Genomic DNA, 12,540 nt, shown 5'->3' with positions numbered 1-12,540 from the left:
TGCCTGGCTTATTTCACTTAACGTGAGGTCCTCCAGTTCCATCCATGTTGTTGCAAGTGACAGGATCTCATTCTTTTTTATGGCTGAATAGTAGTCCACTGTGTATATGTGACATTTTTTTTCATCCACTCATCTGTTGTGGACAGTTAGGTTGCTTCCAAATTTTGGCTATTATGAATAGTGCTTCAATAATAAAATCTTTCTGTTATTGATTTCTAATATTATACTATTATGATAAAAAGATACATAATATGATTTCAAACTTTTAAAATTTGTTAAGAGTCATTTTGTGGCCCAATATATGATCTATGTTGGAGAATGTTCCTGTGCCCTTGAGAAGAATGTATTCTTCTACTGTTCAGTGAAATAATCTATCTATGCCTATTTGGTCTATTGGGTCTATAGTTATTCACATCTACTCTTTCCCTACTTACTTTCTGTTTGGATGGACTATCTGGTGCTGAAAGTGGGATACAGTAGTCCCCTACTGTTCTCATATTGCTGTAAGTTTCTTCCTTCATTTCTGTTAATATTTGCTTTATATATTAGGTGCTCCAATGTTGTCATATATTTGATGATTGTTATAACCTCTTTATAAATTGATTTCTTTATTATTATATAGTGATATTGTCTCTTATGACAACATTTGACCAAAAGTCTAATTGTCTGCAATAAGTATACCTGCCCTGTCCTCTTTTGCCTATAATTTGCATGGAATATCTTTTTCTTTTTCCTTTTTTTTTTTTTTTTTTTTTTTTGAGACAAGAGTCTTGCTCTGTCACCTAGGCTGGAGTACAGTGGCACGATCTCAGCTCACTGCAACCTCTACCTCCTGGACTCAAGAGATTCTCCTGCCTCAGCCTCCTGAGTAGCTGGGACTACAGGTGCCCACTACAAGGCGTGGCTAATTTTTTTTTTTTTTTTTGTATTTTTAGTAGAGATGGCGTTTCACCATGTTGGCCAGACTGGTCTTGAACTCCTGACCTCAAGTGATCCATTTGCCTTGGCCTCCCAAAGTGCTGGGATTACAGGCATGAGCCACTGCGCCCAGCCATGTTTTTCTATTCCTTCACTTTTAGTCTAAGTGTGTCCTTAAGGCAAAAGTGAGTCTCTTGTAAGCCACATATTATTGAGAATTGTTTCTTTATTCATTCTGCTACTTTGTGTCTTGTGATTAGTGGGCTTAATCTATTTACTTTTAAAGTAATTTTTATAGGTAAGGACTTACTATTATCATTTTATTAATTGTTTTCTGACTGTTTTGTAGTTTCTTTGTTCCTCTCTTTCTGTCTTCCTTTGTGATTTGTTGCCCAACACCACTCCCGGCTAATTTTTGTATTTTTAGTAGAGACGGGATTTCACCATGTTGGCCAGGCCAACTTCTGACCTCAGGTGATCCGCCCGCCCCAGCCTCCCAAAGTGCTGGGATTACAGGTGTGAGTCTCCGGGCCTGGACTTCTTTCGGTCCTTGTTGCAAGTGGGCCACCTTCACCTGGGAGGTCAGGTCATGGTACTTCTGCCTCTCATTGGGCCCCAGAGTGTACCACCACTCGCCCAGGATCTGGCTGACGGTCCAGTTGTCCTGGTTGGGGTGACACTGGTGGGCCCTGCCAGAGCCTGGTGCCGCTTGCTGAAGATCATGAGTGCCACTCACGGGCTGCCGGATGTGGTCCTTGTCCCATTTGTTGGGGCTGCGTCCATCCTTCTCAGAAGATGAGTTCTGTTCCTTGGGCAGGGCACTGAGAGACTGGGCCTGACATCATTTGGGTGGTAGAGGCAACTGGGTGTCAGGAGACATGACGGAGAGGAAAGCATCATTGTGGTCATTCTCTGTCTCACTGTCCAGCAGGGGCTCCCCTGAGGGGCCCAGGGCTCCTCCTCCATGGTGGAAGGTGGGCCCTTACCAGGTTCCACCACCCCCAAAGTGTGTGGGGTTCTGGGCCCTGGGCTTTCAGGGCAGGTGGCTTCAGGGGGCCGCCCAGGGTCAGCACTCCCTGTCCCACCTGGTGGACGCTCATGAGCAACAGCTGCCAACTCAGCAGGTTCTTTTGTCTAGTTGGAGGCCACTGAGTGTCTGGCAGGTTGCTGGGCTTTGCGTGGCTGCAGGGAGGGGTCAGGAAGGAGATGGAGTACCAGGGGAACACAGCCAAAGAGCGAGGTTCCACGTTCCTCTACCTGAACATGCCGAGGCCACGGGAGGCCTTGCTGAATGCAAGCATCAGGGGCCTGTGGGCCGAGTACATGGTCTGGGCAGGGGTTCCTGGCAGGGGCTCACACTTCCTCAGCCCCCTCCTCAGCCAAGGTGGCTTGGGCCTGGAGAAGGGGAGTGGGAGGGGAGTAGGAGGCCAGGCCTCAAGTTTTTTGTTGTTGTTGTTGTTTGAGATGCAGTTTGGCTCTTGTCACCCAGGCTGGAGTGCAGTGGTGCAATCTCAGCAGCTGCCACCACACCTGGCTAATTTTTTGTATTTTTAGTAGAGATAGGGTTTCGCCATGTTGGCCAGGCTGGTCTTGACCTCCTGACCTCAGGTGATCCACCCACCTCGGCCTCCCAAAATGCTGGGATTACAGGCATGAGCCACCATGCCCAGCTGCATTCTTTCATTTTTACTTGAAAAACTCCCTTAAGCATTTCTTTTAAGGTACACCTAGTGGTCCTGAATTCCCTCAGCTTTGTTTGTCGAGGAAACATGTTATTTCTTCTTTCTTTCTGAAGGTTAGCTTTGTCAGACATAGTATTAGTTGCTGGCAGTTTTTTCTTTCAGCACTTTGAATGTATTATTTGATTCTCTCCTGACTTGCAAAGTTCCTTCTGAGAAATCTGCTGATAGTCTAATGAAGATTCTCTTGTCTATGTCATGCCACTTTTCTCTTGCCTCTTCAACATTTTAAAAAATCTTTGACTTTTGACTATTTGATTATATTGTGACTTGGTGAGTATCTATTTGGTTTGAACCTCTTTAGGAATCTTTAAGCTTCATGGATTTGGATGTCTAAATCTTTCCCATGATTTAGAGAGTTTTCAGCCATTCTTTCTTTATATAAGCTTTCTTCTCCTTTCTCTACTTTCCTTCTCAGACTCCCATAACCTGACAGTGGTTTGCCTAATGGTGTCTCATTGGCTTTCTTTTCTCTCTCTCTTTTTTTTTCTTTTTTTGAGATGGAGTCTCTCTCTGTTGCCCAGGCTAGAGTGCAATGGCACGGTCTCGGCTTACTGCAACCTCCGCCTCCTGGGTTCAAGTGATTCTCCTGCCTCAGCCTCCCAAATAGCTTGGACTACAGGCATGTACCACCACACCCAGCTACTTTTTGTATTTTTAGTAGAGACGGGGTTTCACTATGTTGGCCAGGCTGGTCTTGAACTCCTGACCTTGTGATCTGCCTGCCTCGGCCTACCAAAGTGCTGGGATTACAGGTGTGAGCCACCACGCCCAGCCTTCTTTTCTCTTTTTTATTCTTTTTTTCTTTGTCCTCTCACTGGATAATTTCAGATGATCTATATTCAATTTTACAGATGCTCTCTCCTGTTGAAGTTTACTATTGTGTTACATTGCCCAGGCTGGTCTTGAACTCCTGGACTCAAGCGATCCTTCTGCCTTGGCCTCCCAGAGTGCTGAGTTTACAAGCATGAGCCACTGCATCCAGTCAGTCCCAGCACTTTGGGAAGCTGAGGTGGGAGGATCACTTGAGCTCAGGAGTTTGAGACCAGCCTGGGCAACATAGTGAGACCTTGCTTCTATATTAAAAAAAAGTCTTTGGGAGGCCAAAGCGGGAGGATCACCTGAGGTTAGGAGTTCAAGACCAGCCTGGCCAACATGGTGAAACCCCGTCTCTACTAAAAATACAAAAATTAGCTGGGCATGGTGGTGCATGCCTGTAGTCCCAGCTTCTCGGGAGGCTAAGGCAGGAGAATCACTCGAACCAGGAGATGGAGGTTGCAGTGAGCTGAGATCGCGCCACTGCACTCCAGCCTGGGCAGCAGAGTGAGACTCCATCTCAAAAAAGGAAAAAAGAAAGAAAAGAAAAATTCCATATCTCAGTGTTTACTCCTGAGTTTTTGAGGTTGTTATTAAGATCATGCTCTACTGTGATGATTTGGGTTTGTTTGATATTTAGAAAAAAGCATATTCTTTTGGGTGTTCAGCCACACTGTGCTTTGGTGTCACAACTGCACATTGGTTTCACAGCTGCAGGACAAGTTCGAGCATCTTAAAATGATTCAACAGGAGGAGATAAGGAAGCTCGAGGAAGAGAAAAAACAACTGGAAGGAGAAATCATAGATTTTTATAAAATGAAAGCTGCCTCCGAAGCACTGCAGACTCAGCTGAGCACCGATACAAAGAAAGACAAACATCGTAAGAAATAATAGTTTCTCTTACTATTCTGAGAGCCCTATCATTCTACATCGCAACTTCCTGTGAGATTGTCTTTGTAGCATTTAACTCTGAAGTTCTCATTTTAAAAATTGGCTTGCTTATTGTATATTTTCCCCAACTAAAGTGTGAACTCCTAGCGGGGTGTGGTGGCTCATGCCTGTAATCCCAGCACTTTGGGAGGCTGAGGCGGGTGGACCACCTGAGGTCAGGAGTTCAAAACCAGCCTGACCAAAATGATGAAACCCTGCCTCTACTAAAAATACAAAAATTAGCTGGGTTTGGTGGCCGGTACCTGTAATCCCAGCCACTTGGGAGGCTGAGGCAGGAGAATCACTTGAACCCCGGAGGTGGAGGTTGCAGTGAGCCAAGATCTCACCATTGTACTCCAGCCTGGGTGACAAGAGCAAAACTCCGCCTCAAAAAAAAAAAAAAAAAAAAAAGTATGAACTCCCAGAAGGCAGATCCTGTGTCCCTCTTTTCAGATTCTGTATCTTGGCACTTAGGACGTACACTAACACAAATATGACTTTCAATCAATATTTGCCAAAATGAAAAAACAAAAGAAACACGTAGCATCATGTAAAAGGAGCTGGTTAGGTGGAGAAATTTATTTACCATAGTCCTGCTTTTGGATCCAGTAGTGACTTTTAACTTTTATATCCAAATAGAAGCTGGAGGCTTTGTTGGGGACTCATAGGCATAAAATGTTAAGTTATACAAATCTAATTAATAGGCCTATTTTCCTTTTTAAGTTCTACTACTGATAATTTCTTGACAGTTTTTATGATAAAAGGTTGGAATTTGATAAGAACTCCCATGCTTTTGTGTCAGACTTAAAACTGATATTAGAATAAAGAATTCAAAAGCTAGAGAAAGAGTTGCATTTGAATGATAATATTATGTGTTACAGATTTGGGGTATATGCCAAAGTTATCAAAGTTGTAGAAAATAAGGCCAGGTGTGGTGGCTCACACCTGTAATCCCAGCACTTTGGGAGGCCGAGGTGGGCGGATCACTTGCGGTCAGGAGCTTGAGAACAGCCCGGCCAACATGACGAAACCCCATCTCTACTAATAATACAAAAGTTAGCCGGGTGTGGTGTTGTGCACCTGTAGTCCCTGCTACTCGGAAAGCTGAGGCAGGAGAATCGCTTGTAGCCAGGAGGCAGAGGTTGTAGTGAGCAGAGATTGCGCCACTGCACTCCAGCCTGGGTGACAGAGCGCTGAGTCACCACACCTGGTATAAGCCACTGTGCCTGACCCACAATGACTTTTATACATATTGTTAAATCATCTTACAGATTTTATAATTTGGGGGAAGAAAAATTTTACTAAATGATCTTTTAATGGAAACTCTACAAGAACCAGAATCTTTGCTTTGTTCACTTATGTATCCATTCCTAGGCCTAGAAAAATGTCTGACGCATAGCAGCAATTATTCATTGAATAAATGGACCCAGCAATAGTACATTAGCTATGCCATATGCATACATTAAAAATGTAGATTATTGACTTTCAAAAGATAATTAATGTAACTTCTTACTGCTTCTGAACATGTTTGTGAGTTATATTGCTGAGGGACCTTTATCTTCTCATTCTTTCATCTTAATCCAATGTTATTAAAACTGAAACTGAAATCACCAATATTATTCCATATTTAAAAATAACATCTACCTTATAAAAATTATCATTGTGCTGCATTTGAGAATAGACTTTTTAGGTAATAATGGTATAATCCATAGGGTTTTTGAGGGCACAGAAGGATTCATGCTAACAGAACATTTTATTTTCTATTTTCCAAGAGCTATAAAACATGATATTATATGATACTATAAGGCATATTTTTATTTTCCATAATTTTTTCTAAAAAAAATTAGTGTTGGTTTTCCATATAACTTTTAACTTTATAAGTAAATATTTGTCTCTTTCAGCTCCAGTTTCATGTGAAATAGAGTTTCCAGATTTATGTAGCATGGAAAGTTTTAATACGTCAGTTACTGATTTTTGCCAGTCATTTTCTCAATTATTTACTTCTTTTATCTTTAGTTGATTTTTTTTGTAGTGACAAGTTTTGTTTCTATTCTCATTTCCTTTTGTGTATATTCTATGTAGATTTCGTTTTTGGTTACTATGAAAATTACATATAACATCCTGGAGTTATAACATTCTGATTTGAATTTATTTCAACTTAACTTCAATCACATACCAAAATTCTACTGCTATATAGGTCTACTCTTTTTAGGTTATTGATGTAACAAATTGTATCTTTATTCATTGTACACCACCTAACAGATTTATAATTACATTTTATGCATTTGTCTTTTAAATCCTGTAGAAAATAAAAAGCGGAGTTACAAACCAAAATTACAATAATACTGTTTTTATGTTTGTTTATGTATTTACCTTTACCAGAGGGCTTTATATATTCATATAACTTGCTTATTTACTTATATAATTACTGCCTAGAGTTCATTTATTTCAACCTGAAGGACTTTAACACTTCTTGTATGGCAAATTTAGAGATAAATGGATTTCTCAGCTTTTAAAAAAAAGCTGGAAATGTCTTAATTTCTCCCTCATTTTTGAAGGACAGGTTTTCCAGCTATAGACTTCTCAATTGACATGTTTCTTCATTATTTTAAATATATAATCCACTATCTACTGGCCTTCCAAGTTTTCTGCTGAGAAATCAGCTGCTAATGTTAACCGGATCCCTTGTCTGTGAGAGTTACTCTTCTCTCTGAGCTTTTAAGATTCTCACATTGTCTTTTTTTTGTTTTTTGAGACAGAGTCCTGCTCTGTCACCCAGGCTGGAGTGCAGTGGTGTGATCTCAGCTCACTGAAACCTCCGTCTCTTGGGTTCAAGTGATTCTCCCATCTCAGCCTCCCAAGTAGCTGGGGCTACAGGCATGTGCCACTATGCCCAGCTAATTTCTTTGTATTTTTAGTAGAGATGGGGTTTTGCCATGTTGCCCAGGCTGGTCACAAACTCCTGGCCTCAAACAGTCTGCTCAGGACTACCATTTACCCAGCAATCTCATTACTTGGTATAGACCCAAAAGAAAATAAATCATTCTACCAAAAAGGCACATGCACTTGTATGTTTATCGCAGCACTATTCACAATGGTAAAGACATGAAGTCAACTTATATGCCCATCAGTGGTGGACTGGATAAAGAAAATGTGGTACATATACACTGTAAAATACTACACAGCCATAAAAAAGAATGAGATCATGTCTTTTGCAGCAACATGGATGCAACCAGAGGCCCTGATCCTAAGAGAATTAACATAGAAACAGAAAACCAAATGCTGCATGTTCTTACTTACAAGTGGGACATATGGACATACTTTGGGTACATATGGACATAAAGATGGGGCAGCAGACACAGGGTGCTACTAGAGGGGGTAGAGGGAAGAGAGGGGGAAGGCAAGGGCAGAAAAGCCACCTATTGGGTACCATGCTCACTATCTGGGGATGGGATCGTTCATACCCCCAACCTCAGCATCATGCGAAATACTCACGTAACAAACCTGCACATGTACTCTCTGAATCTAAAATAAAAGTTGAAATTATAAAATTGTTTTTAAAAATTACACATATATATACTTATTGGCACTCTTAAAGACTGTCGGGGCACACAATGACGCAATCACAGAACCAACCCAACTACAAAAATGGATTGATTTAATCACATTAATTGATTTAATTGCAAAGATGTTATGATGCAAAAGTGAAGCCATCATCAGAAATTTTGAATATCTAAAATAGTATATTTAGATATTAAATTTTAAAAATATTTTGAAATAATACAAAATAAAAACAAAACCTTTTTATTGTGCATCACAGGAAGGCGCTTTCCTCAAAAATATATAGATCATACAAATTCATCACAAAATACACTTTTTTTGAGACAGAGTTTTGCTCTTGTTGCCCAGGTTAGAGTGCAGTGGTGTGATCTCGGCTCACTGCAACCTCCCACCCTTGGGTTCAAGTGATTTTCCTGCCTCAGCCTCCCGAGTAGCTGGGATTACAGGCACTGCCACCATGCCCAGCTAATTTTTTGTATTTTTAGTAGAGACAGGGTTTCACCATGTTGGCCAGGCTGGTTTTGAACTCCTAACCTCAGGTGATCTACCTGCCTTGGCCTCCCAAAGTGCTGGGGTTACAGGTGTGAGCCACTGCGCCCAGCCCAAAATACACATTTTTAACACACAAGTCATGAAATAGAACATTAACAGCACCCCAGAATCCCCCCATACCCCTTCCCAAACATTGTCTTCTCTTTTTTTTTGAGATGGATTATTGCTCTGTCACCCAGGCTGGAGAGCAGTGGCGATCTCGGCTCACTGCAAGCTGCGCCTCCTGGGTTCATGCCATTCTCCTGCCTCAGCCTCCTGAGTAGCTGGGACTACAGGTGCCCGCCACCACTTCCAGCTAATTTTTTGCATTTTTAGTAGAGACAGGGTTTCACTGTGTTAGCCAGGCTGGTCTCGATCTCCTGACCTCGTAATCCATCCGCCTCGGCCTCCCAAAGTGCTGGGATTACAGGTGTGAGCCACTGTGCCCGGCCAACATTGTCTTCTCTTTCCTCCTCAAGGGAACCCCCATCCTGACTTCTAAAACTGTAGATCACCTTAGCTGGGTTTGTTTTTGTTTTTACCTTATATAAATGGAATTATGCAGTTTGCATGCTTTTGTGTTTGGCTTCTTTTGCTCAACATTATGCTTGTGAAATTCATTTATGCTATTATATATAGCTGTGGTTTCTTTTTTTTCATTACTATGTACTGTGCCCTTCTGTGATATACCACCATTTATTTAGTCCTTCAACTGCTAATGGACACTGGGTTGTTTCAACCTGGGCTATTACAAATAATACTGTCATGACCATTGTTTTTAGATGTCTCTGGGTGCACATTTATATAGAGAGAGAGACATCTAAAAACAAGAATAAATATATATCTTTGTTGCTCCACAGTCTTGTCGACTCTTTTAATTATAGTAATTCTGGTGGGTTTGTAGTGGTATCTCATTATGGTTTTAATGTGCATTTTCTGATTTATTAATGAGGCTGAACACTTTTTTATGTTTACTGGTCATTTAACGATTCTCTTTTGTGAAGCATCTTTTCCGGATGTTTTCCTATGTTTCTATTGGGTTGTCTTTTCTTTATCAGTTGGCTGGAGTTTATATATTATTGGCATAAGTGCTTTGAGACTTGTAGGCGCTACAAATGTATTTTCCTGTCTGTGGCTTTTTAGTCTTTCAATTACGTCTTTTTGACAGCAAAATTTCAGTGTGGTCAAATATTAATCTATTAGTCTTTTCCTTTATGATTCATGGATTTTTTTTTTTTTGAGATGGAGTTTCACTCTTGTTGCCCAGGCTGGGATCTCGGCTCACGGCAACCTCTGTCTCCTGGGTTCAAGCGATTCTCCTGCCTCAGCCTTCTGAATAGCTGGGATTACAGGCATGCGCCACCATGCCCAAATAATTTTGTATTTTTAGTAGAGACAGGGTTTCACTATGTTGGTCAGGGTGATCTCGAACTCCCAACCTCAAGTGATCTGCCTGCCTCAGCCTCTCAAAGTGCTGGGATTATAGGTGTGAGCCACCACGCCTGGCCTGATTCATGCTTTTGAAATACAATTTAACACACCTTTTCCTAATTTGACGTCCTGAAAGTATATATCTTTTATTACCTTCTACATTAGTGCTGTCCAATAGAAATAGGAAGTAAGCCACATATGCAATTTAAAATGATCTAGTATCCACATTAAAAGAACAAAAATAATCAGATAAAACTAATTTTAGTAGTGTTTAACTCAGTATATCCAAATTATTATTTCAAAATTGTAATGTTAAAATTGAGATATTTTTAGTTTTTTTTCCTACTAAGTGCTTAAAATCCAGTGCAAATTTTACACTTAATAGCACATCTCAAGTGCTCAATAGCCATACATGAACAGAGCAATTCTAAAAGATTTATTGTTTTTACCTCTTCACATTTAGGTCTATGGTCTATCTGCAATTGATTATTTTTATTATTATTATTATTTTCAAGGCAGAGTCTCACTCTGTTGCCCAGGCTGGAGTGCAGTGGTGCCATGTTGGCCAGGCTGGTCTTGGACTCCTCACCTCAGGTGATCCACCCCCCTCGGCCTCCCAAAGTGCTGGGATTACAGGTGTGAGCCACCACACCCAGCCTAATTTTTGTACTTTTAGTAGATACGGAGTTTCACCATGTTGGCCAGGCTGGTCTTGAACTCCTGACCTAAAGTGATCCGCCCGCTTCGGCCTCCCAAATTGCTGGGATTACAGGCATGAGCCACCACGCCTGGCTGATTTTTTCTAATATCAAAGGAATCACCAGGGTCTTCCCTTTCTTTTGATTCATTTATTTTCTTGGTTCCGAAATGTTTTTTAAAAATATGAAATGCTTAATGAATTTGTGTGTCATACTTTCCCAGGTACCATGCTCATCTTCTCCATGTCATGCCAATTTTAGTATATGTGCTGCCGAAGTGAGCACTGGTTCTGGATTTATTTATTGGTTCTTTTATTTTTGAGACAGGGCTTCACTGTGTCTTCCAGGCTGGAATACAGTGGCATGATCATGGCTTACTGCAACCTCCGCTTTCCAGGGCTCAAGCAATCCTCCCACCTGGGCCTCCCAAAGTGTTGAGATTACAGGCATGAGCCACTGTGCCCAGCCTGGAATGTTTAACTGCTGACTTTGATGCCTGGTTTTGGTTGTACTAGATGCTCCCACTACTTTTTTCTTTAAAAATTACTGGTTTGTTCAGCTCCTTAAAAATATCTTTGGTGTTTTAGACGTCAAAATATGTGAGGCCAGGTGTGGTGGCTCATGCCTGTAATCCCAGCATTTGGGGAAGCCAAGGTGGGAGGATCTCTCAAGCCCAAGAGTTCAGAACCAGTCTGGGCAACATAGTGAGACCTCTGTCTCTACAAGAACTAAAAATTAGCTGGGCGTGGTGGTGCATACATGTAATCCCAGCTCTTGGAAGGCTGAGGCAGGAAGATCTTGCTTGAGCCCAAGAGGGTGAGGCTTTAGTGACCCATGATCATACCACTGCACTCCAGCTTGGGTGACAGAGTGAGACCCTGTCTCAAAAAAAAAAAAAAAAGTAGATTAATAATTGCAGAAACATTTTCTATGCTCCAGGTGACTTTAAAAATTAGACCTAATCTTGGCTGGGCATGGTGGCTCACACCTATAATCCCAGCACTTTAGGAGGCCGAGGTGGGTGGATTGTTTGAGGTCGGGAGCTCGAGACCAGCCTGGCCAACATGGTGAAAGCCTGTCTCTACTAAAAATACAAAAATTAGCCGGGCATGGTGGCAGGCATCTGTAATCCCAGCTACTTGGGAGGCTGAGGCATGAGAATCACTTAAACCTGAAAGGTAGAGGCTGCAATGAGCCGAGATCATGCCACTGCACTCCAGCCTGGGCGACAGAGTGAGACTTGGTCTCAAAAACAAAAACAAAAAACAAACAAAAAATTAGGCCTAATTTTTATTTACAGTTTACTCTTTAGCTTTCATCAAAGCAGTTTTTGGGGTGTTTTTTTTTTTTTGAGACGGAGTCTCTCACTGTTGCCCGAGTTGGAGTGCAGTGGTGCGATCCCGGCTTACTGCAACCTCCGGGTTCGAGCAATTCTCCTGCCTCAGCCTCCCAAGTAGCTGGAATTACAGGCACCCACCACCATACCCAGCTAGTTTTTTGTATTTTTAGTGGAGATGGGGTGTCACTATGTTAACCAGGCTGGTCTCAAACTCCTGACCTCGTGATCCGCTCGACTCAAGCCTCCCAAAGTGCTGGGATTACAGGCATGAACCACCGCGCCCAGCCCATCAAAGCAGTTAACTAACATTTAGAGTAGATGGCCAGGCATGGTGGCTCAGGCCTGTAATCCCATCATCTGTTTGGGAGGCCAGGGTGGGAGGATCACTCTAGTCCAAGAGTTTGAGACCAGACTGGCTAACATAGTGAGACCCCCATATCTACCAAACAAACAAACAAATAGCCGGGTGTGGTGGTGCAAATCTGTAGTCCTAGCTACTTGGGAGGCTAAGGCAGAACTGTTTGAGCCCAAGAGTTTGAGGCTGCAGTGAGCTATGATCATGCCACTGCACTCCAAC

General features: G+C 42.0%; 1 protein-coding gene and 2 pseudogenes across 1 annotated transcript in view; 1 reads left to right on the top strand and 2 right to left on the bottom strand.

The window, feature by feature from the left end:
- SEPTIN14 (septin 14) overlaps positions 1-6,737 on the top strand; it is a 69,213-nt gene extending 62,476 nt beyond the window's left edge. Inside the window, exon 10 of the mRNA NM_207366.3 lies at positions 4,185-6,737. Within this exon, the coding sequence (NP_997249.2) occupies positions 4,185-4,364 (180 nt within the window). The 3' untranslated portion in view covers positions 4,365-6,737. The remainder of the gene's footprint in view (positions 1-4,184) is intronic.
- CICP12 (capicua transcriptional repressor pseudogene 12) lies at positions 1,451-2,281 on the bottom strand (annotated as a pseudogene).
- On the bottom strand, positions 10,803-10,909 carry RNU6-1126P (RNA, U6 small nuclear 1126, pseudogene; annotated as a pseudogene).

This window comes from Homo sapiens, chromosome 7 (assembly GCF_000001405.40).
Source record: "Homo sapiens chromosome 7, GRCh38.p14 Primary Assembly".
NCBI lineage: Eukaryota > Metazoa > Chordata > Mammalia > Primates > Hominidae > Homo > Homo sapiens.
This window is presented reverse-complemented; position numbering and strand designations above follow the sequence as displayed.